At 39.7% G+C, this 26,011-nt stretch overlaps 2 protein-coding genes and 1 long non-coding RNA gene across 3 annotated transcripts in view; 1 reads left to right on the forward strand and 2 right to left on the reverse strand.

Moving 5' to 3' along the window:
• LOC105371777 (uncharacterized) overlaps nucleotides 1–26,011 on the forward strand; it is a 70,694-nt gene that overhangs the window by 8,817 nt on the left and 35,866 nt on the right. The window lies entirely within an intron of this gene.
• Nucleotides 1,689–7,609, reverse strand: KRT12 (keratin 12). Its single transcript, NM_000223.4, has 8 exons — nucleotides 7,006–7,609; nucleotides 6,541–6,623; nucleotides 5,192–5,348; nucleotides 4,089–4,250; nucleotides 3,871–3,996; nucleotides 3,509–3,729; nucleotides 2,951–3,021; nucleotides 1,689–2,144 (listed from the first exon to the last, which is right to left on the reverse strand). Exons 1-8 carry the CDS (start codon nucleotides 7,570–7,572, stop codon nucleotides 2,047–2,049), a joined length of 1,485 nt encoding a protein of 494 aa, NP_000214.1. The 5' UTR covers nucleotides 7,573–7,609; the 3' UTR covers nucleotides 1,689–2,046.
• KRT20 (keratin 20) lies at nucleotides 16,275–25,628 on the reverse strand. Its single transcript, NM_019010.3, has 8 exons — nucleotides 25,182–25,628; nucleotides 22,958–23,040; nucleotides 21,000–21,156; nucleotides 20,486–20,647; nucleotides 20,199–20,324; nucleotides 18,531–18,751; nucleotides 17,766–17,803; nucleotides 16,275–16,844 (listed from the first exon to the last, which is right to left on the reverse strand). The coding sequence occupies exons 1-8, from the start codon at nucleotides 25,569–25,571 to the stop codon at nucleotides 16,747–16,749; spliced, it is 1,275 nt and encodes a 424-aa protein (NP_061883.1). The 5' UTR covers nucleotides 25,572–25,628; the 3' UTR covers nucleotides 16,275–16,746.

Raw genomic sequence — 26,011 nt, forward strand, 5'->3', positions numbered from 1 at the left:
AGTGCTGGGATTACAGACGTGAGCCACTGCATCTGGCCATATAAATGATATTAAAAGGAAAAGCTGCATACTGAAGCAAATCAGCTTAAGTTGGCTGACTAGCCATTGGCCTTTGGACTCAGCTCTGGAATTCCTCTTGTCTAACACAACTCCTCCCTCTCCCTTCTGCTTCTTTGACACTCCTTATTCACCATGTCTCCTTGTTTCTTCATCCCACTTTGGTTTCATACAGTAAATAATAATAAGACACAAATATTGAGTACTTTCTAGGTGCCAATAGTTTCCAGGTTCCTAGTGCTTTAGGTACACGACCTCATTTCATCTTCACAAAACCCGTGCCATGAAGCAGGTGCAGTCATTGCTATCATTTCCACTTTAAGAAACTGAGGAACACAGAGGTTAAATTACTTGTTATTAAGTAGCAGAGCCGGAAATTGAACCCAGTGTGATGTTAGAGGCCAGGCTCTTAATCATTGAATTTTGCCCATTTTCCTTTTAGGGTTTTGAATTTGGCAACCCATGTTGAACCACCATCTACTCAGGCTGAGACTTTGGCTGCCTTTTTCCCTAATGCAGAACATGATTTTTGTTACTGACTTGTGGGTCTGACCTGCCCCAGTGGGGACCCCACCCTGGGCCTCACTGCTGCCAGCTAGGAGAAAGGAGAGCAGAACCATGTTTGTTCACACCCTCTGTCTTTTCACATGTATTTGCCCTGTTGCCTTTCTCCCTCGTCTACCTGGATGATTTCTTTATGTAGCATTTCATTGCCCCTCCTGGAAAATTGTTCACTTCTTCCATGTGTCCTTCGAAGTTCTGTTTGTTTTCTTTTTTTTGCTTTTTTTTTTTTTGAGACAGAGTCTCACTCTATTGCCATGCTGGAGTGCAGTGGTGCAATCTTGGCTCACTGCAACCTTCGCCTCCCGGGTTCAAGTGATTCGCCTGCCTCAGCCTCCTGAGTAGCTGGGATTACAGCCACCTGCAACTGCACCCGGCTAATTTTTGTATTTTTAGTTAAGATGGGGTTTCACCATGTTGGCCAGGATGGTCTTGATCTCTTGAGCTCATGATCTGCCCGCCTCAGCCTCCCAAAGTGCTGGGATTACGGGCGTGAGCCATGGTGCCCAGCCCTTTGAACTTCTATTCAACAGATCTCACTGTATCAACATTCTTGGTAGGTGTTTATCTCTGCCCTCAACCATGAGCTCCTCAAGGCAAGGACCATATCATATTCATCACTGAGCCTCCAACCTGGCACACTGTAGGGGCTCAGCGTTTCTTGACTGCATGAATGATGGTGCTAGAAAATGAACAGGACAACTCTCAACTGCTGTAGTAGACAATATAATTTTGCTACAACCTTGATGAGCTTACATAAAAAGGCCAGAACTTCTAAAAGAATCTTCTTTTAGCTTAATCCTCAAACCCTGACATCTTCATCCCAGTTTTATCTACATTATCATTATTATCATTATTAATGTTGTGTAGAGATGGGGGTCTCTCTATGTTGTCCAGGCTGGTCTTGAACTCCGGGCCTCAAGCAATCATCTTGCCTCTCAGCCTCCCAAAGTGCTGGGATTATAGGTGTGAGTCATTACTCCCAGCCTCTATTTTATTAGTAGTATTTCAAAAACTTCTCTCTATGCTCTTGACATTCTTGTTGGAATCAAGGCATACATTTCACATTATTACCATTCATCTTTTATTACAATTAACTCTATTAAAACAATACTACTTGATTAAAGCTCTATGATTAAAAAATATTCCGGGTTACCAGAAGAAAGTTCGTTAAAAGACTACTCCAGGTCCAGAAGGATATAAGGTAATTTTGATTTGTTACAAAGACCAACATGACCAAAATGACTTGTGACTGAATATTGTTTCAGAAGGGCAAAAAGGATTCAATGTGAATAGGGAATCCAAAGAAAATGGAACAGACAAAAATAGGGATTGAAGTAATACAGCATGTTACTCTGAAAGGAATAATTTCTACTTGTAAATTTCTTGTTCCTAAGGAACCAATCATGGGGCAGATCTTGTGAAATTTTACATTAGTTCTTCAATTTCCTGAACTTGAGATGAGACCACCTCACCATTCACCATCTCCTGCACAACTGTCTTGATTTTTCGGGTTTTGGTTGGGTCTAAAGATAAAAATGGAATAAGGGGGCAAGAGTTAGTGTTTCAAATATTAATCCAACACTGGTTGTTTAATGTAGGCTTCTAAATTAAGCATTGGTTGATACAATCCATCTAATTAAACTTTCAAAAGTAAATTTTACTTCTCAAAAATGTGTTTTAGCCAATGACAATGAAATGTATTCAGTGTTGCCTTGTACATATATGAAAACTTTTTTTAAGAAAACATTTCAAAGGTGGTTATGGTGATCATAATACCTTGCAGCAGAGTAGGTTTTTTCCCTTCTGCTTTGCCATTTTTTTTATTTTTTAATTTTAATTTTAATTTTCTTAAAGACAGGGTCTGGCTCTGTTGCCCAGGTAGGAATGCAGTGGCATGATCATAGCTCACTATAACCTCTAACTCCCGGGCTCAAGCGGTCCTCCTGCCTCAGCCTCCAGAGTAGCCGAGATCACAGGTATACACCACCACACCCAGCTATTTTTTTTCTTAAGTTTTTTGTAGAGATGGGGTCTCGCTATTTGCCCAGGTGGGTCACGAACTCCTGGCCTCAAGCGATCCTCCCACCTCAGGTTCCCGAAGCTATGAGGTTACAGGCATGAGCCACCATGCCCAGGCCCCCAAAAGTTTTAATATGGTATAGACTACTCATTTTGTGCAGGAATGCATAAATGTTTTTCCTTGGCTCAGAATATAAATATGCTTTAAATTAAAATTAATAATAATGCAGTAGTCAATGAGGTCTTACAGGTTTTGCATTAATAAATGTGATTCCGACTTATTCTAAGTGATTCTAGGGTTTCTGCATACCTTTAGAGGAATCAGTTGACTGTGCTTGTGATTTGGAGTCTGTCACAAATAAACTTTCCTCCAAACCATCACTGTAAGAAAACAAAGGAGATGACCTCAAAAAGTGAAACAACCTGGCTTTTAATGGAAGATCTGGTCTGAGAAATTAGATTTCCCAATTTGTAGGCCTGAGTTCTTCCAACTAGTGCAGACTCTGATCACTTTTGGAAAGCTTGTTAGAGTAGGTGGTTCAGGTGGCTACTATGTGTCCTTCTTATCATCAGGTCTTTGATATCAGAAATTGAGTAAGTGACTTTTATAGTACAGGGAGTACTCATTTACAAACTGTTTCTGACCGTGGTGCCTTTGTTCTTTGCAGCATTTTATGAATTATCAAGTAAGATAATGGGTGAAAACACTTTGCAAAGTGTAGAGCATTTAGTAAATCCCAGGCATATCTTTACTAGACTTGTGTTTGTTTGTTTGCTTTTCTGTCAACTAAAACCCCATTCCTTCTATTTCTGCTGCCCACTCTTGGTCAGCCCCTGAAGGTGTTTACAGCCTCCGTTGTCTGCTCACCCTTGGGCCTCCCCGTCCAGCAGGCGGCGGTAGGTCTCAATCTCCAGCTCCAGGCGGGCCTTGACATTCAGCAGCCGCTGGTGGTCCACGTTCTGGCGCTCTGCGTCCGCGCGCACCTGGAGCAGCTGTGCCTCCAGGTTGCTGATGAGCTGCTGCACCTGGGACAGCTGCGCGCAGTAATCGCCCTCGGCTTCGGCCAAGGAGTCCTCCAGGGATTTCTTCTGCACGTGGGAGGGAAATGGCATAGAAATAACGATGGAGGGGACCGAAAAGAGGAGGGTAGCCAACGGCTAATGTAATTTGGATGCAGCATTTTCTTTGGAAGTCCAAAGGATGCTACGTCTGTTTGCGCACGAGCCTACCATGGCGAGCTGGGACTGTAGCTCGATCTCCAGGTTCTGAAAGGCGCGACGCAGGTCGGTGACCTCGCTCTTGCTGGACTGAAGCTGCTCGGTGTTGGTGCTAATCTCCTTACGGAGCTCCCCGCTCTGCAACAGCAAAGACAGCCAGGGGGCTCGAGCGCTGAGCTCGTTCGCAGGCCTTTCTGTGAATGTATCAAAGCCTTTGTTGTTTGTGTTACCTTTTCAATGAACCAGGCTTCAGCGTCCTTCCGATTCTGCTCAGCGATGGTTTCATACTGCGCCCGCATATCATTGAGGAGCCTGGTGAGGTCCACTCCGGGGGCAGCGTCCATTTCTACGCTGACCTCGCCTGGGCCGCCCACCCGGAAGCTTTGGAGCTCCTGGGGACAGCATGTGAGAGAGAGGGGCACAGGGGTCCATTGTGACTTTCGTGGGCCCTGGATACTTTTGTCCTCTTGGGCCCCTTCCTACACACACACACACACACACACACACACACACACACACTTAAAAATTCTATCTTATGACTGTTGGTATAAAGACAAATATATTAATGTAATACATTAAAACTTTTTTAACCTCAAAATTCATATTTTTCTTCTGATATTACAAGAACTTAAGACATATTCATGGGTCCCTGAAATTACCACAGACCCTGGGAGCAGTGCCTGCTGTGCCTAATGGGTAAGTTGGCTCTGCTTCTTGAGGGACCACGACCTTCACGTGAAAGGAGGCCTGGCGTACACTCACTGGGGTTTTCACCTACAGCTGCCAAACCGAGGGCTGCAGACAGTACCTGGGCTTGCACGCTGTTTGTGCCACAATCATCGAAAATCTAGTAGAAACTTCCTATTGCCAGCATCCCTTCCCTACCTAGCCTCCAATATGCACCATGGCACCTCAGAGTTTTCTGGTGTGCATTATGCTAAGTATAACCAGTTTCTCTGACATATAAAACATTATATATTATTGGTAGACTTTTGTTTTAACTTTTAAAATACTCAGTCTTTTTAAAATCACTGAATTAGGACTGTTAGCATTCCTATTGTCATTGCCTTATAATGAAAATGACAAAATCAGAAAGTGCCTCAAATTTGTTGAGCCTTAGCAGGAACCACCATCACTACTACCAACACACACACATCACACACACACATACCACACACATCACACAGAAATCTAAAACAAATGGCCATTTTAACAGGGAGACAATGTATTCTCCATACTTGTCCTGACTCCAGATTTCTAAATTTGAAATTGTAATTTTTGGGTCTGGGAGAAAAAAAAAAGTAGCTGAGTGAGGCTGCCCTGTCTGACTCACATCCTCGTGGTTCTTCTTCATGTAGGCCAGCTCCTCGTTCAGGCTCTCGATCTGCATCTCCAGGTCGGTCCTGGTCAGGGTCAGCTCGTCCAGCACCCGGCGCAGGCCATTGATGTCGGCCTCTACGCCCTGGCGCAGGGCCAGTTCATTCTCATACCTGAAAACCAAGTGCAAAGCAGTTGAGGGAATCAACACAACCATTTGAACAAGGCCACTGATCTTCAGGGCTATTTCTTGCTTAAATCTGTGCACCTACTTAATAATGGCAGCATTGTAGTGTATGATGCAGTTTTTGCTGTTGTGTTTTTCCTTTCCTTTTTTCCCACCATTGTTTACTGTTCAGTTGGGGAGGAGAAGAAAAGTGAATAAATTATAAGGCAATACTTTCCTACCAGCGATGAATCCCAATACCACAGCATCCCAGGGAATAATTTTCCCTTTGGCTGGCTGCCGTGGCTGTAAATAGCAGCAGCCCCTCTCTAAGTGGAATTTCTAAAAGCCGTTGAAAATAAGTTACTCTTTTTGCTTAACGTTCTTCATGATTTAACTTAAAACACTGATACTTCTTTAGTGGCTTTGACTAAGATTTTACAGGTTCAGAACCATGGCCATTGCAACTTCCTGTGTAGAAATTTTGTGAAGCAAAAAGGAAATTAGTATTTCTTACCTATATCTGGGAGAGTTGAGCATGGAAAAGGAGGAAGGAATATAAAAATTAGTACATGGTTAATCTTTCCATTGTATGTGTCATCAGGAAAACAATGGTTGATACATTGAAAATTGAGGTTTAGAGGCGGGTGGATCATGAGGTCAGGAGTTTGAGACCAGCCTGGCCAAGATAGTGAAACCCCGTCTCTACTAAAAATACAATAATTAGCTGGGCACGGTGGCAGCCGCCTGTAATCCCAGCTACTCGGGAGGCTGAGGCAGGAGAATCACTTGAACCTGGGAGGCAGGGGTTGCAGTGAGCCGAGATCGCGTCACTGCACTCCAGCCTGGGTGACAGAGCGAGACTCCATCTCAAAAACAAAAAACAAAAAACAAAAAAAGAAAATTGAGGTTTAGGACACTGGTAGGATTATGGTGTCAGTCACATCATGAGTTGAGTCAATAGCACACTACAAATATCGTGATCCATAGCCCTGGGTTTAAGTAACTTATAATTTAAGGACATTTAATCTGAATTGCATTAGATTCTAATTACTTTCTAGAACACCCTATGTGAATTTACCAAAACAGTAAATATATGGAGTATGTGAACTTCAGAAGATTTTATATCAATGAAGGCAGGACAGTAGGACAGAAGACATGGTGGGACACGCCCATGATCTTCAGTTTATTCGACTCACTTCATCCTGAAGTCCTCAGCAGCTAGTCTCGCATTGTCAATCTGCAAGAGGAGCTGGGCATTTCCAATGCTGGCTGAAATGATCTGGCAAAAGAGAGGGACACACACAAGATTGAAGCCCTAAAAGACTAGTATTATACAAATATATTTTTGACACAAAGGTGAAAATGGTGATATTAAATGCTGTTTTATTTAGAGTTTAAGACAGTTTCATTTTTCTAAGACAATATCTGTATAAAATAATATTGAGAAGTAAAGAAATGCAGATTTCCTACAGAAAGATAATGGAAATACAATCATTTCTTAGTAAATGATAAAGTGGAGTGAAACAACCTGGGATGAGAAAATTGCTGCAAGTACAGCTAAATTGGAAAATATCAAAGTTGTAGGTGATTATCACTGTAAAACATTGTAATGGTAAAAAGGAAAAAAAAAATTCCCAAAGCGCCTCCAAAAGAGATCTTACCTTATTCCTGAGGTCTTCAATCAGTGGATAATATTTGCTGTAATCGCTCTGTGAAGCATCTGCAGTCCCAGTTCCTCGTGTTTCATACCATTCTCGAATTTTATTTTCTAGCTCAGTATTAGCCTCTTCTAGAGCTCGCACCTTATCCAGGTAGGAAGCTAATCTATCATTAAGATTTTGCATAGTTTCTTTTTCTGATCCAGAAAGAAGGCCTCCATCATTGCCCGAGAGAATACCTAGAGAGCCACCTCCTGGGCTGCCCCCAAATCCCATCCCCAGCCCTCCAAAGCTACCTCCACCCAGGGCTCTCCCATAACCAGCACCCAGTCCTCCTGCCATGGAACTTCCGGAGCCACCCCCAAAGCCGGAACTAGAACCAAACATGGAAGCAGCAGAAAAGCCTCCCCCACAGCTGGCTCCAAAGCCAAAGGCACTTCCCCCATAACCACTTCCAACACTGGAAGCAGACATGCCCCTGGGTCTGCCTATCACACTCTGCGAGGAGAGCCGCCGGGACAGTCCGGGGGTGCGCACTGAGAGTGACATGGTGTTGTTGGAGAGATCCATGGCCTGGGGAAGGTGGCCACAACTGGAGAGGAAGTTGTGCCAGCAAGCCAGAAAGCTAAACTTATATAGGCTGCAAGATGGGTGTCGCAGTTGAAAAGTTCACTTTCTCCACTCAAAATTGGATCCTCCCCCCAGGTTTTTGGCCAGCTCAACAAGTGAATGATTTATGTATAATGAAAATTCATTGATACAGAAATAATCGAATAATCATTTCCATTAAATATTTGTTATATGAAAAAGAAAGCTGGGTGGAGTAGAGTCTGCTTGTCATAAGGAATTTTTCTTCTCCAAATTAGTCTGTTGCCTGTATTCCCAGCACTGCCTAGCGTCTTGTTCACAGTAGGAAGATAATGAGCGATTGCTGAATGGATACGTTAAATACTTCTTCCTAAACCTTATGCTTTTTTAAGTTCTTCCCTGATCTTTTCTGTTTGTTTCCTTTGGAAAATCCAGTGTAAACCATTTGTTTCCTTTGGAAAAACCAATCCAATGTAAAATCCAGTCATGATCAAGTATACCTTTTAGTGGAATACAGCTTCAGAAGCAGCTGTGAAATGCACTGGTGAAAGGTGGAGAATAAATATATTTTCCAGATGGATACTAGAATTTGCATTTTCAAGGATTTTAAAACCTTGGCTTTAGGATGTTGCATGTTTCTTTTCCCTCTTATTCTTCAACTTGGAAAAGTACTATTTTTGAGTACAGTTGTTTATAGTAGAGTTTATTATAGTTGTTTTAGCAGTTTTACCTTGTCTGATTGCTCACTGCTCTACACTCAGCATTTACTATGTTTATTCCTTCAACAGATATTGCCTGTAATGGTTGCTCAATAAATGTGTTGACTAGTTGAATGGATTGTGTAAACACTTCAGATTTTGTTGCCATTATCAATAAGGAGAAAGTGGAAACACAGTTCAAATTAAGAAATGATTAAAACCCCAAGTTTAAGAGGCTAGTGAACCATTTCAGTTGACTGCTATGATGAAAAAGGATAAATTTTACAATATAGAATAAATTAAATGTTATATTTTAAACTTTGTTGTGAAAACTTTGCAAAGCGTGCTTCAAGGAATTATATCCAGTATCTTTAATTTTTAAGACATAAAGTTCTTATACTTTCTTGTTTGGTATATTATTTATCTTTGAAATTGATATGGCTTATATATTGAACATGAGAACTAACGTTCTTACAGGAAATGCATTAACTTGAAAGAAGCCTGCTTTCAGAGAGAGTTGTAGATACCTGGAAACCGAGTAGTACAATTCCAGGGTGGTGGAATTCCCTTAGGAATTTAAATTGTGAGCATTTTGATTGGATAAGAAGGAATAAGGATTTTTCTTTTACATGTTTTCTTTGAGATGATGGCCCAATTCTCTACATGTCTCATTGCAAAATAGTTCTATAGTTTTTTTTTAAATATAGCTCTCTATGTATTTATAGTAGGAAATTTAGAAGATGCAGAAAACATAAAGAAGATGTATGTATATATGAGTATTTTATATACATTTTTGAACATAATTGATTCAATATAAGATTTTATAATCTGCTTTTCTCTTAAGATTATATACTTATCTATCACTTGAACTTTAATAATTGGGTACAGAACATGGATTGTGGATTCTTCGAAATCCTTTGTTGGATTCAGATTTCTAAATTCAGTTTGCTCTGTATTTGATGATAGGAAATAAAATTTCTGGGTGTAAATAACAGTTTTTTTGCAAAGATGTTTATACTGAATTTTATTAATAAGGTATACACTGACTGTGTGTGCTATAGACATATATGTATTTTGACTAGAATGGATTTATTGAAATAAAATACATTAAAATCATTGTAATGATACATTTCCTACCTCGTGGGAAACAGGGCCTTCATTTCTCCATCAGGGACCTCTGTTTGCTTATAGATGGCCACTAAAACTCCTTTTCAATTTGGTATATTTGGATTCTGCGTTTTATTTTATTCTAAGGAAAAGTTTTAAAAATATCACAAGTATTCTAGATTTCTAAAATAAAATTGAATTCTTATTTGATTTAATAATACATACCTTTCATAAAAAGGAAGATTTTTATTTTTATTTATTTACCACTACTGGATTTTTTTTAAAAAATTTCAACTTTAATTTTAGATTCAGGAGGTACATGTGCAGGTTTGTTACGTGTGTATATTTCATGATGCTGAGGTTTGGGGTACGACTCATCTCATCACCCAGGTAGTAAGCATAGTACCCAATAGTTGTTTAACCTTTGCTCCCCACAGTAATTCCCAGTGTCTATTGTTGGCATTCTATATGTCCATGAGTGCCCAATGTTTAATTCCCAAAAAGGAGGCTTTCTATACATTTTAAAGTGGAGATTGAATCTATCTGGTAAAGATTAATTTCTCAGCAAAATTATTGGATACCTGTGAGATCATTGAGATGTTACTTACTTAATACAAACAATCAACCATAAAAATTAGCAAATATGTGGCTATTGTTTAAGGTTTTTCCATAAGCATATGCAATACTTTTTGTTTCTCTTACTAAAACAATAACCTGATTTTTTTGGACACTTCAATAGCAGAGATAATATGTGAAGTAAGCCTGTAACTGTTACACAACTTGAATTATGTCAAAATGATGTGGTCTTTTTGAAAATTAAATCAAGAATTTCAACCAAGCCAACATGAAAGTATTCAAGTACTAGGTCTGCTGTTACCTCCATTCTTCAATGTCTAGTCCATTTGCCCAGTGTCTTGGACAAAGTCAGCATTCAATATATGCTTATTGATTTCTCTCTTGATAAATCAAGCTGCTGGGCCATTAATGTGTGTTATGTATGAGGAAATTTTTCCAAAATCAAAAAAGAGTGTATCAATATAAAGGCAAGCTACAAAGTATAATAATTTAAGTATTCGTGGATTCACAATGTAGACACATTCAGATGTTACTCTCATTCTAATGTACACATGCATGCACACACACACACCCAGAAACATGCACTCAGATGTCTTTGCTTGGTGCCAGTGTGCAGGTGCTCCCTGCAGAGGGATCTTCTGCAGCCCCTGCTGCTCCACCTTCCCTGGGAGCCCTTTCTCCTGAGAATGCTTCTTTCGCTGGCCTTTATCTCATTGGAGTTAGTCTCAATGGTTAGCACTTGTTTTGCCTTGTAGAGTACAGACTGACTCCTGAGGAATTCCAGACCTGTAGCCTAGATTCCCCGTAGTTTACTGCTGCCTCCTGTCCACCTGCATATCCAGATATTATCTCCCTGATTACAGCCTCCCCGAAGCTGAGGTTCTTCCATTGTGAAGAGTCCTGAGCCAGAACTAGCAGTGCCCACTGGGGATTAGGGGACAGATGCCGAGGGGTCACACCTGAAGCCCATGGCAAACCTCCATAAGGAATACCTGGGATCAATTCTGGCAAATGGAAGGACTGTTTTGACTTTTTATTAAAAAAAAAAAAAAAAGCCACTTTCCCAGGGACACAAATGATGAACCCGTGGTGAAATCCAATTACAACTTCCTTTTATATTATTACATAAGGGACAAATGTGAAGGGACATATTTCTCCCCAACCTAAACTCGTCACAAAGAGCAAGCAAGTGGGATTTCTAAATAAAGGGGGTTTAAGCAAGAGATTTGCAGAAATCACACATTTGCTATAGATGTGGAAAGAATGTAGCAACCTAAGGCAGTCTCAGCTTGAGAGAAGCCATGATCCATTTGTTTAATTTCTTGAGAGAATGAAAATCTGGTCAGTGGAAATGCCAGTGATTTTAGCCCCATATGGAGGTTTTTACCAAGGATTCCTTAAATCTATATTATAAGCATTTTGACTGAGCTGGTCTTGTTTGAATTATCAGTTATTATGTACTTACTACTTTTTGGACACTGGGCCAGCTGAATTACAGACATTATTTTTTAACCTTCACGGCAAGCTCTTAAAGTGGTACTGGTTTTATTTGTTTGTTTGTTTGAAACAAGGTCTTGCTTGGTTGCCCTCACTCCGGCTGGAGTGCAGTGGTGTGATCATAGCTCTCTGAAACCTTGAACTCCTGAGCTTAAGCAATCCTCCTGCCTCAGCCTCCCAAGTAGCTAGGACTACAGGTGGGCACCACAACACTGGCTATTTTTTTTTTTTTAATTTTTTTGTAGAGATGGAGTCTTGTTATATCGCGTAAGCTGGTCTTGAACTTTAGGCCTCAAGTGATCCTTCTGCCTTGGCCTCCCAAAGCACTGGGATTACGGGCATGAGCCACCTCAAGGCGCCCAGCTTCAGGTGGTACTTTTATCCTATTTTACAGATGAGCAATCTGAGAGTCCAGATGTTAAGTGATTTATTTACGCCCATGCAGCTGGGAGGAGGCAGAGATAGGATTCGGGCCTGCAGTGCCTTCTATAGATACCACAACCTTGCTGCTGGCGGTGACAATAAAAAGGGCAGAGGATACTCTGACATCCCCTAGCTATGACACCTGACACTAGGCTTCTGCCCTGCACATCTAACAGGAGGTGCTCTTTTTTTTTTCTTTTCTTTTAAGCTTTCTCCTTGAATTTCTCAGTGTATGGGCTGAGACCTAGAGAATGACTTTTCATGGCTTATAAGCAACAACATGACACATGAAATTCTGTAAACACACAGGCAAATGCGGTTTTCATTTTAGCTTTGACCTGTAACTACATCTCCAGAGATCTTATAAAGCACAAGTTAAACTTGCACTCCCCACACAAGAACTTGATGTTATGGTTGTTAACTATTATTCACTCCCAAGTGTCCCCCAAGACAGAGAGATTCCATTTTACTGCCATAGAAATGAAAACAGAAGCAAATAAAATGTCAAAAGAAATGTGCCAAGTTCAAAATTGTACCTCAGTGATTTGATCACATAATACGGGAATATGATTAAGTTGAATTTTTGAACTTGGAATTGATTTTGTGCTGAAAGGTACACTTTCCAACTCTAATGCCTATGGTAAAATTTAAATAATATTGCTCAATCTCTAAAAATTATGTTTATATATTATTTGTTTATGTTTCTATACATATAACATATTATCCTAGACTAAGCTTGTTAGGTAGGTACTACATCTAATTTATTTTTTATCCTGAGTCCTAGCCTAGTGTTTCGCTGAACTTTATCACTGCACTCCTTGAATGATTTCATTTGAAAGAAGTTAAGTCTTAATGTGTTTGAATGTGTCATTTGAAATTCATTTCATTTGAAAATGACTGTGCCCTAATTTACTGGTATGCTTTGACCAATATTTATTCTGAATTCAGTTATGAATGGGGAGCAACTTCAGAAGTTGAAAAGGGAAATATTTCTTCTTCAGTGGCTTTTTTTTTTTTAAGTGGGAGGCTAAGTTAAATAATCAAGACTCTGCTTTAGAGGTTTTAGAAGTGAAAATAATTTTCTTTGACAGCCACATTAATGTATAAGGCAGTGGTGATGTAAAAAACAATAAACAATCTTGGGCTTGTTGGCAGAGTGATTGCATAAGTTGAGGCAGAGAGGAAAATGATTATAGCCAGGGCAAACTGTTCAAAAGAATTATATCTTCCATTTTTGTAGAGTTTAGGAAATGTTCAAAATAGAGAAAATTAGTTATGTGGTTTTTACAAGTCTTTAGATTTTTATTGAGTAAATCATACCCTCATCTTTTCATGTCAGGTTGGTTTCTGTCCTGGTCTTTGCAGGGTTTTCTACCTGAGTTTTTTCCCGTAAGACAGACCTGTCATTTTCTGCAACTCGCTGATCCCTTGATCTGTAACATCTTTCACTTTGGATAACATTATAAAATCCTGTGAGTGACTGAGAGAATTTTGGGTTGCCTACATTTTATGTATTGTGCTTTTGAGATGAGGGTTAAACAAGGACCCTAAGGGGTATGAGTGAGATTGACTTCTGGGCTCCAGAGATCAATGGTTCTTGAAAGCAGGGGAGAATTTTGAAAGTGGTAGGAGACAGGAAGATGATAAAATAATACCCTGATGAGAGGAATCTTGGAAATGAGCCTAGGGGAGAGAAAACAGAGATGTTTGAAAGAGAATTCAAAAATAAAAATCACTACTAATGCTTTAAGTTGGAATTGTTACTTGGGGGTCTAATCAGGTACCTGAGGCTGATCCTGATGCATGTGGATGAGAACAGAGTGTCTGAGGAGGTCACTGGCCATGTTTTGATTTTGTATCACTCCATGTCATTCTCCTTTTTAGATGATTCAGAACTCTGGGTAGAAATAATCTCCAGAGCTCAGAAAAAATAGTTATTTCCATCCTAACCTCACCTCTAGGGGCTCTCTCTGAGTTTGATAGCTTCACTTCTGCACTGACAATTTCATATAAAATGAAAAAATACATTGATGATAATTCTAATGTGTGATAAAGACTTCTCTCTGGATCTGTTTACCTGTCAGAAATAGGATTATGTCATTCTAGTTCTTAGCTCATATCAGAAATATAGATAGATACAAAGATTAATGCTTCACTTTCACACAGTAACTGCTGGCAGAACTGGAGGTAGAACTCCACCATCTGGTCCACATGTATGTAGCTCTCACTCACTTCTTTGAAAGATTGCTTGGAAGAAACTAGAGACAGACCAAAGAAGCAAGAGGAAGAAAAAATCTTCATTTTTCTGATCTAAAAATAACAATTCTACTTCTTTTAACAGGTAGTTAAAAGAGGACCATCCTAAATTAAGAATAACAATCCTACCTCTTTTAACACAGTGTCATCATTGCCATATAACAGTGGTCAGGCCTAATCAGTTACAAACCCATCTGCATAGGTTTCTTATTAATCAGATTCACAGTCTGGTATTTGCATGTCAAAGTTTCAGACTATTCTGGAATGTGTCTCAGTAGGTGAAAAAGAATTCACTTTTAAATATTCTTAACATCTTTAAATGCAACTTACTAGCTAGCGTGACTTGGAAGAAAATTAAGAAAAAAATGAGTGAAATCTTTTCACTTTGGAAAAGAAGGCAATGAGAATAGGTGAGAATACCTTTTCTGACAAAAGTTGTACTGAATCAAGTCATGTGTGATGTTAGCCAGCAAAGCTGGACATTTGCCACAATTGGCTGTTGTGTCTGGCTGATGAAAATGACAATTAGAAAACAACAAAATAACTGCGGATAGGCAAGTGCCTATTTCAACTGTGAATCATGTATTGCTTTGTTATGTAATTAGTTGCTTATGAGGGTGTCCTGGTTTTAGAGAAACAGCGCTGAGGTTCAGTCTCGCTCTACTACTTGGTAACTGCTTGACTTTGGGAAAGTCTTTATCTCATGTCTTCATATGAGTCCTCATTTATCCTCATATGTAAAGTGGGGGTAACATAATAAGGTTGAACCTTATTATATATGCTATATAATAGCATATAAAATTGCTATTTCTGAAAGTCAGAAATTATCATATATTGGAAAGCTTTAAAAAAATCTTTATTCTTTCAATTTAAAATAATGAATCAAGTGCCTGCTATGTGTTAGATATTATATTACATCTTAGGAATTCAAAGTGGTACCATTCACATCCTCAAAAATTCCCAACTCTTAGAAATTATCATATATTGGCAAGTTCATATGATTCAACCTAATAGCTTCTACCTCACAGGATTATTGTGAGAATTAAATGAGAAATGCATGAAATGTTTGGCACACAGGCTCATAGTAAGTGCTCAATAAATGGTGGATATTATTATTCTTAAATGAATCATGTAATTATTTTCTATATAATAATCAAACTCAATCCCACTTATTTGCAACTTCTGTATCAAGTTTTAAGTCCAATCTATTTACTGGAATACAATGATTTAGCACACATTGATTTTTCCCATAAACATTCATATGCAATGATTGCTCACTAAAATGCAAAAAGGGTGAGGATACAATATGTGTTTTTATTGTTTTTGGATTTGGCTTCTTTCACTTAGCATGTTTTCGAAGTTCATCTCTGTTATAGCATGTATCAGTACTTCATTCCTTTTTATTGACGAATAAGATTCTATTGTGTGGATATATTACATTTTGTTTATCCATTCATCGGTTGATGGACACTTGAGGTGTTTCGCTTTGGGGCTTTTATGAGTAATGCTGCTATGAACATTTGTGTATAAAAGGACACATCGTATTAACCTATTTATATGAAATGTCCAGAGTAGGCAAATCCGTAGAGACAGGAAGTAGATTAGTGGTTGTTAGGGGCTGGGAGGAAGGGAAAAGGCGGTGACTACTAATAGGTACAAGATTTCCTTTTGGGGTGATGAAGTGTTCTAAAACTAGATAGTGGTGATGGTTGCAAAACATTGTAAGCATACTGAAGACCACTGAATTGTACGTTTTGTAAGGGTGAATTTCATGGTGTGTGAATTATATCTCAATAAATCTGTTATTAAAAAAATGAGAGACATTTCATTAAAAATATATGTTCACCATATAAAGAAAGAGAGGACCTGATAGTATATGCAGCTTATTATCAAAAGGAGACACATTTTGCCTTGAGAAGGGTTTCAGTAATGTTGTTTTTAATCTATTTCCATTTTAAGTATAGTGTACTTCACTCTTATTCTGCTCAGCATTTGTGATTGAATTTGACTCTCAAATTATTCAAAAAGCTGTGTTGAGTTTTAAAAGGCAGTGGAAGCAATGGGAAAAAGCAGATATAGCTCAAAGGTTGTAGAGTTGTACTGATGCTGAAAAATCAATAAGATTAACCCAGAAATTGGCTCAATAAGAAACCAGGGACTCCCAAAGGGGGTTTTACAATTCAGAAACAGGAAAAAATTAGAAAGTGGTTTATTTGCAATTTACATGGATTCCTCTACTTTGTGAGGTTTAGTATAATTGAAATGTATTGCAATTTTCAGGAACATTACCTACAAATTGATATTAGGTGGTCTACAGCTTGTAATTGATGTGCTTCATGATAAAGATGGCAGTAATGATGTTTTAAATATTCTAGTGCTCACTGGATTTCATTTTTGCAGGCAATTTGCAGCTCCTCTGAGTAAAACATTTATATTCAATTACAGAGTCTGATAAATAGGATTCCCGCCACCCCACCCCTTCTAATCACTGCAGAGTATTAATAGTGCTTTCTTATGGCTGATTTCTTGCAGGGAGCAAAGATAAGATTATAGCCAAATTTCTTTCAAAACCTCAGCAGCATCTCCTTCTGGTAGCTATTTAGATATTTTCTTCCACCTCTTTGACTTCAGATGACACGACCTTGCCATCCACTACTTCTTGCACGACTGTCTTAATCTTCCTGGTTTTCTTTATATCTGAATTCATATTAAACATTAAATGTTAATTCAGGCACATGACTCTGCTGATTTATAATATTCAACTTTAAATTATTATTCTTTTTACTTATTTCCTTCTTTTAGAAAAATATGTTAAACCCATCCTCTTTCTCAAAAAATCTTAAGTCCATTTTATAAATAGATGCAGAAAATGTGCTTCTCCCCAAATTTACAAATGTCCTACTCTTAAAAATTCAAGAAATAAATTATCTTGAATTTAAGTGGAATTCAAATTTTGTCTTGTTTTTCCTTTTCAGGATGTCAGGATGTTTCAAGATAGCAATAGCACAGGCCAAGAAAATCACCCCATTCTGAGGAGTGTGCCCAAGTTCCCATGTGGAGGGTTTCTTTATGCCATGTACAAGATTTTTAGAATCCCTGGTGTCATATCTGCTCCCTTGAGAATTGGCCTTTGCTATGGTTTGAATGTGTTCCCTGGAGTTCATGTGTGGAAAACTTAATCCCCAATGTAACAGTGTTGGGAGGTGCGGCCTAGTAAAAGGTGATTAGATGATGAGGGCTCTTCTCTCATGGATGGATTAATGTGGTTACCATGATAATGGGTTAGTTATTGTGAGAGTGGGCTAGTTCTAAAAGAAAGATTAGCCTCCTCTTGCTCTCTGGTTCTCATGGACACTCTTTTGCACTTCTACTTTCTGCCATGGGATGACACAGCAAGAAGGCCCTTACAAGATGCCGGCACCTTGATATTGGACTTTCTGGCCTCCAGAACTGTGAGCCAAGTAAACGTCTATTGTTTGTAAATTATCCAGTCTCAGGTATTCTGTCACAGCAGCAGAAAACAGACTAAAACAGCCTCACTTTACTTTTTATCAGTGGCATGTAGTTAATAGAAAGCAGCTGAATGTCATAGAAAATGTGCAAAAATTTAGAACTTACCTCTCTCTTCCAGGGTGCTTAACTGATATTCTGTAGTTCTGTTTTTTTTTTTAATGAAAAGAAGAAAAAAGAAACAGAAAAAAGCATTATTGCTGTTTTGAAAATGGAATGCACTCCTGTCTTTTATATTTCAAAGTCCAAGTGAATGTGTTATTGCTTTCATATATCTTTCCCTTTTACATTGCTTTTATTGCAAACTTGAGCATTTTACTTTTTAACTTGAAAAATACATAGATTTAAAACTGACCAGTTTAATATATGCTAAGAAGTTCCTCTAATTAAAATAACAAAATTACAATGGAAGTTTAAATCTTGTGTTCTCTTGTTGATATTCTTAGGTATGGTATCTGAAGACAGTTGCTGCTGCCACACTTATGATTCTCAGACTGGCTCCCGTGGACCTCAGCAGCTTATTGTCTAATTCATGAGCTCTCAATTAGAATTTCCAAAAGGTTATTATGCCTTCAATTATATATTAATGATGAAAATTAATATCAGCATAATCTATATCATTTGGAGAATTATCTCCAAATGATCATGTGGTAGAACTCAGTCCTACCACATGATCTCAAGGCTGTACTTGATATTTTGGGCGTGTGTGTATTTTTTGGTATATTTTCGTTTTGTTGTTCGTGGTGAGGCATGTGTGAGTATAATTGCTTCTGTCCTAGGGATTGCATTGGTGCTGGGTAATGAGTGACAGGGACATTAAAATAGAAGTGCATACAGATATTGACACCTATTCCTTGATTCTAAGAGCCTTACTTTACGTCTTCTCCTTCCAGAAGGCGGCGGTAAGTAGCAATTTCCTGTTCAAGTCGAGTCTTTATGTCAAGAAGGATATGGTATTCGTTGTTCTGGCGTTCCATGTTACTCCGAATCTGCATCAGTTGGGCCTCCAGAGAGCTCAACAGCGACTGGAGGTTGGCTAACTGGCTGCTGTAACGGGCCTTGGTCTCCTCTAGAGTGTGCTCCAAAGACTCTTTCTATGAGCACAAGAAAAATAGGGCACTTCTTATGTGAGGACTTGATTCAAGAGATGGGTTAATTTTAATTTCCTTTGAGAAGGGTCTCTGCAGTTCATCACTGTGGGCATGGTGTATATTTCTAGCTCCATCTCCCACTCTTCCCAACTAGGCAACCTCAGCCAGCCAGCTAGGATCATTAGCTCTTGGGGTTTTTCTTTGCTTGTAGCTTTGCACCTACTGTTCTTTCAGTGCGGCGCATTGTAGCATTGTTCTCAGTACTTGCTTCCCCACTGTGTGAAGATGTTATACCTCTCACTCCTTCATCAGACCTGGCCATGTGATCTGTGGCATTTCTCAATTGCAGGATTAGATTCCTTTAATCCATTGACACCTGGCTGGGTCATGTGACTCTCTTTGGTTAATAAAATGCAGGTCAAACTGACAAATGCCTTTTCTTTTTCTTTTTTTTTTTGGGACGGAGTCTTGCTCTGTCGCCCAGGCTGGAGTGCAGTAATGTGATCGCAGCTCACTGCAACCTCTGCCTCCTGGGTTCAAGCGATTCTCCTGCCTCAACCTCCCAAGTAGCTGGGATTACAGGCACACACCACCATGCCCAGCTTATTTTTGTATCTTTAGTAGAGATGGGGTTTCACCATATTGGCCAGCTGGTCTCAACCTCCTGACCTCAAATGATCCTCCTGCCTTGGCCTCCCAAAGGACAAATGCCTTTTCTAAGGAGAAGCTTTAAGAGCTATCAAGTGGACCAACCATTGCTCTTTTCTTTCTGCCAGGACACTGGCATGTCCTAGGTAGGGCCTACCCCTTTAGCCTTGCCCTTGGAAAGGAAATGTCACGGTGGATGTAGTATCATGGCTGCAGGCCACTGTGGTTTGAGGGATTCTGCTTACCACAACATAATTTGTCATGGGCTTGCTGATTTGCTTGGCCTGGAATGTCTCTAGTCCATTCTCCATCTTAAAATTTTATCTTAGATTTTGAGATCTGGTATAATGGACACATACAGGGGAATAGCAGACATGGGGGCCTAACAGAGGGTGGAGGGTAGGAGGAGGGAGAGGATCAGGAAAAATAACCAATGGGTATTAGGTTTAATACCTGAGTGATGAAATAACCTGTACAACAAATCCCCATGACACAAGTTTAACTACATCATAAATCTGCACATGTACTCCTGAACTTAAAAGTTACAAGAAGATCTGGTTTAAATGCCACTTTCCCTGTGAAATCTTCCAGATTTACTCTTTCCTCTGCATTCATGCAGTACATTGCCCTTTCCTCGATTTCTCTCTGTCCTTTAATTATAATCAGTTGTTCGGCCTGTTTCCCTGCCAGTTCTGCAAGGGGAAGGGTTATTTCTTGTAGGTCTTTGCATTTCTATAGTTCCTAACAGAGGACCTTGGTAAACACATACTAGATTGAGAAAGAGAAGTTAGATATGCTTTACCATGCTGAGATGGGACTGGAGTTCTATCTCAAGGCTCTGGGAGGTGCGTCTCAGCTCCGTTAGTTGAACCTCAGTTCCTTTTAATTCTTCAGTATTCACTGTGACCTGTTGCTGCAGAACTGCAGTCTACAGTGCCAAGAGTGAAAAAAAAATAGTTGAGGGGTGGAAATAAGAAAGAAAAGACAGAAAGAGAAAGGAAGAATGAACAAATGAAAAAGAAAATGAGTTATCTGTTTCTGGAGGAAAGCATCTACACGTTTGCTCACCCTTTAGAATTGTGTGGTTACCTGTCTCTCAAACTGTTCTTTGGCCTCTTGAAGGTTCTTCTGGGCCATGACTTCATACTTCTGCCTCATTTCATTCATGATGACGCCAAGGTTCAGGCCTGGAGCAGCATCAACCTCCACATTGACAGTGTTGCCCAGATGCTTGTGTAGGCCATCGACTTCCTATGAAAGTGAAATTTCTGATTGATTTTAGTCTGAAGCACATTCTCAGATAAGGCTGGGCAGAAAAGACATAAGGAGTCTCATGACCTCTTTCATTGGGAATAAGTAAAAAAGATATAAAATAATAACTTGTGTTGGGCTTATTGTGGTCCAGGTGCTGCTCTAAGTCATTTAACTTACAACAACATTATGAAAAGAAGGTAGGGCTTGTATCATTATTGTCATCGTCATCATCTCTGTCACTATCACCACCAACTCTTCCCCCTTCTCCTGTTTCTCCCGCTCCTCCTATTATTAGTATTATATAGAACCATTCCATTGTTTCCAATACCACTTCTGAATATTTTCTCACCTCCTGATGCTCCTTTTTGAGGAGAGCTAGGTCTTTATTCAGTTCTTCAATTTGAATCTCCAAATCTGTTTTATGTAGGGTTAGGTCATCAAAGACCTTATTCAGGCCTTGGAGATCAGCTTCCACTGTTAGACGTATTCCTCTCTCAGTCTCATACCTGTGAATTAATTAGTGTACAGAGATAACTGGTCCTTCTGAAGCCATTATAAGGAGAGAATCTAATATAATGGGATAGGTTTTTAAATGTGGCTTATGAGGAGATCAATTTCAATACTTTATAATGTCTGCCTTTACACAATCATGAAATTTACATAAGAACCTAGGAGTCAGAAAATGTGCTCAATAATATAATCTCTATAATTTGGGGTGACTGGTAAAAAGGCAATCTGAAATAATTTTGAACACTTCTAAATTCTAGAATTTATCTTATAAGAAATTAAATTGTGTTAATTATTGTGTTGGCAAAGGGTTCTTATTATTGATATTAAATAATGGTTAGTTTTACTTAATGAATGTACATGATCGATTTATTTTTATTACTTTGTGAACAGAGACATCCAAAGTGAATTATCTCAAACAGCTCTACATCCTCCTCTACAATCTTACATACACACTGTGTGTGTGTGTGTGTGTGTGTGTGTGTGTGTGTATTTGAGACAGGGTCCCACTCTGTCACTCAGGCTGGAGTACAATGGTGTGATCATGGCTCACTGCAGCCTCAACCTTTGGGGCTCAAGCAATCCTCTCACCTCAGCCTCCCAAGTAGCTGGGACAGCAGATGTATGCCACCATGCCCAGCTAATTTTTTTTGTATTTTTGTATAGAGATGTGGTTTTGCCACGTTGCCCAAGCTGTTCTCAAACTCCAGGACTCAAGTGAGCCTCCTGCCTCAGCCTCTCAAAGTGCTGGGATTACAGGCGTTAGCCATCATGCATGCCCTGCCCAGTTTCCTAAAATATCCAACTTTAAAAAATGACACTGCAATGTGACACTCAGTGCTAGGTAAAATTGGAAGTAATGCACCTTTACTGCTTTCATCTTTGGATTTGATTTCCTATTTCCTTCTTGTTAATCCCTTGGAGCATTAAAAGGCTACCCTTCTAACCACAAAGGGCTTTTTGGTGTTAATGCATTGTACAAATTCAGGATGAAGAGGCCTTAGTGTGGAAGCTGTTTGCAAGGAACAGGTCTGGTCACATGTGGTGTGATGACTACAAAGAAAGTGAACACAATTTTTACTTTCTTTTTCTTTTCTTTCTTTCTTCCTTTTTTTTTTTGAGACAAGGTCTCAGTCTGTTGCCCAGGTTGCAGTGCAATGGCACGATCTCAGCTCACTGAAACCTCCGCCTCCCAGGTTCAAGCGATTCTCCTGCCTCAGCCTCCGGAGTAGCTGGGATTACAGACATACGGCATCACGCCCAGCTAATTATTATAGATTGGTCCTGGTTCTTTGGTTGGCCAGACCATCCTGTAAAACACTGGCAAGCCAGAAATCATCAAGAGTCACCCCTGGAACTTGGGTCATACACTTGCAGGCACTTGAATGAACGTGGAGAATTACTTGGAGAATCACCAAGGGTAGACACAAGACTCTCTTTAGATAACAGAAAGGCACTTAGGGAGAAGGAGAATTGTAAATTACTTTGTTATTACTCCAAAGGGCAGAATTAGGTTTAGATACCAGGTTACTAAAAAAAAATTTAGCAACCAGTAATAACCAAGGAGAATAGTAGTTACTGGAGGTGTTTAGTTACATGCCGGGGGATCAAGAAAGAGAAGGCCATCCCTGAGTGCTGGGTTAGCTTCATACATGTAGCTTCTAACCTCCTTTAGGCTTCAGGATTCTGGACATTGAACCGTGCTTCCTTTATCAACAATGATATGGAAAGCTGAGTATCTGGAAGGACTACTAAAGGAATTCTTTTTCAGAAACTTTTGCCACGTATTAGGGAACCTACTTCAGTCTGAAGTCCTCAGCAGCCAGTTTAGCATTATCAATTTGCAGGACACACCGAGCATTTTGCAGTTGAGCATCCTTAATCTGGAAAATACATGAGAAAGAATGACATTTTCTTTTTTATTTATTTATTTATTTATTTATTTATTTATTTATTGAGACAGAATCTTGCTCTGTTGCCCAGACTGGAGTGCAATGGTACGATCTCGGCTCACTGTAACCTCTGCCTCCCAGGTTCAAGCAATTATCCTGCCTCAGCCTCCCGAGTAGCTGGGGTTACAGGCATCCGCCACCATGCCCGGCTAATTTTTGCATTTTTAGTAGAGACAGCATTTTGCCATGTTGGCCAGGCTGGTCTTGAAGTTCTGACCTCAGGTGATCTGCCTGCCTCGGCCTCCCAAAGTGCTGGGATTACAGGCGTGAGCCACCGTGCCCGGCCAAGAATGACATTTTCAACTGGATAGGAGTTTACAAGGATTTAGTTTATCCCCAGCTACAGTGACTATTATGTCAAAAATGATGTTCATTTCAAGTATTTCTACATGAAAATATATAGAAAAAATAATGACATAGTTATTTAACATAACAGAGTCATAAAATGCAACTCTAGATGCCCCAGGGTTTGGTCTACTTTCTTGTGATTTTACAGAAGGATAATTTAACTCAACTTGAGTCATCACACCTTATTGAGTGCCTTGCCTTTGATGTTTCTACTTAGGACATTTCTTTTAGCCCCTGTGGTCTGGTGAACTCCCATTCCTCCCTCATGTCTCAGGTTCGACAACATTGCTTCATAGGAGCCTTCACAGATGCTCTCAAAACTGAACTGGATGATCTGCCTGTGCTCTCATTATCCCTCTGTGTGCTGGTCCCTCTGTCCATCCCTGTATCCTCATAAATCATATTGTGTCCACCATAATATTCCTCAGTCCCCAGCATGGTGCCCAGCACCTAGTTAGTGTTCATTCAGTATTGGCTGAATGAAAGAACATGATGCATGAAAGAACGAAATGCATGATGGAGGCATATAGATGAAAAATCTACTTGCAGAAGATGTTACAATGACATTTCTCTTTCAATGGACCCAGTTTTGGAGAGGGCTGCTTCCTATGGTTGGGACTGTCCAGCTCAATGGGACGGATGGCCTGTGCCTGTGTATTTCAGATGAACCAAACTAGAGTCAGAAACACGAGACAGGTGTGGTTCGAACATTTTTAGTGAGAGCTTGCGAAGGATGAACTTTATTCCGGAAGGGCTATTTAAATGCCATTGCTTCACATGCCCATAGTTTCTAAAATTCCAAAGTAACTTCCCATGGAGTCCGAATCAAATTGCCCTGATGTTTAGTACAACTCAAGAAAAACAGACTTGCTGGTAAGTAAATGCGCTTTGCTCTAAAGGAGTATGAATCTTAACACAAATTACAGTGAACACTTTTCTTAATTAGATAAGAACTTTAATTTGAAGCAAGTGCTCTGTGTCATATCTGAAATTTTCAATTAGGAGCAAAGTCTTCTGCTTTTATTCCATGAAACTGATAAAATACAGAGCTCCACCCTTTTTTTGATGACATAGGAGGAGGTTGTGATATGATTGTAATAAACATGAATTGGGGGCAATAGAACATTTTATTACTGTAGAAGTAGTTTCTGAACTGCTTGATGCTGATGGTCATGTTATTAAACAGGGCACTTAAAAATCCAGGCATCATTAAGACCCATATTCCTGCCACACTGTTTCCACCCAGAATCACTTTGCTATTTAAATCTGCAGTACAGTATTCTAATAGTCATATTATAACATTTACTTAAATAAAAGGAGAAAAGTCTTTGAATTTACTGGGGTTTCAAAACTTGATAAGGACTAGGTGAAAAACTAAGAGAGATTTATCACGTAATTAATTTTTAGCTCTTTTCAGAAAGATTGTTCACTATACATTTAGCCCTGATGTGATAAGCTGTGACAAAGATTCATTTTATTCCGGAGGATAAAATGTTCATATTTTGTATGTAATTGTGTTAAACATTAAAAATAGCATGATTTAAGGTCATCCTGTTGTACAGTCAGGTACTCCAGCACTAAAGGTAGATGAAAGAATTTTTATAGATGTAACATTTTAGCCTAATTTGCTTTACAAAGTCCATTTGGACCTACCTAACATAGATAACCTCTTGATTTATCTTGAAGCTAAACACAGAGTAGGAAACACAAGCATCATCTCTCACCTGACTTCGCAGCTCTTCAATTTGTCTGTAATATGCACTGTAGTCGCGACCAGCCCTCGGGGCGTTGGTTTCGTACCACTGCTTGATTTGCACTTCAAGTTTGGAGTTGGACTGCTCCAGGGTCCGCACCTTTTCTAGGTAGCTCGCTAGACGGTCATTTAGGTTCTGCATGGCCATTTTCTCATTGCCAACAAACAGGTCCCCGCCGCCTGTGAGATCGCTCCCATAGTTCACCGTGTGTCTGGAGTTGGAGATGCGGATGCCCCGGCCTCCAGCACCCCCATAAACGCTGGGTGTCGTCCCGAGGCGCTGCATGCCCACTGTACTGACTACAGGGGCCTGCAAGGAGGAGCTCAGGCTTCTGTGGAAGCTTCTGCGACTGAAATCCATTGGAGATTCCAGGAGGGAGCACCTGTAGCTTCAGGATGGTTGGGGCAGAGTGTGTCTCATGGAGGGTGTTGAGCTAGCCTTTTATGAAGTCCACAGGCAAGAAACTCCTCCTCTGCTGACATGTCACTAGGATTGGCACCACAGTCCACCTTGCCTTACTTCCACGCCCCCCGCTTTGTATAGCAATATGTTAATATGCTTAATTCAATTCCAGAAAATACCACTAGAGGCATTTCTTGGAGGCTTTTATCAGGGGCAACTTTTTTTTTTTTTTAATTAAACAGGTAATAAAAGGAAACAGGAAAGTGTATTCTTTTAGCCCATGCGCCTGCCTTGGCAGGTTTTTTTCATCCTAACATACACACAAAGAATATTTACAATCCTCATGTATAATTTAGGTATCTAAAAAGGCAGATGTGCCTACATAACTGAAAGTCACA

The sequence above is a fragment of the Homo sapiens genome, chromosome 17 (assembly GCF_000001405.40).
Source record: "Homo sapiens chromosome 17, GRCh38.p14 Primary Assembly".
Classification (NCBI taxonomy): domain Eukaryota; kingdom Metazoa; phylum Chordata; class Mammalia; order Primates; family Hominidae; genus Homo; species Homo sapiens.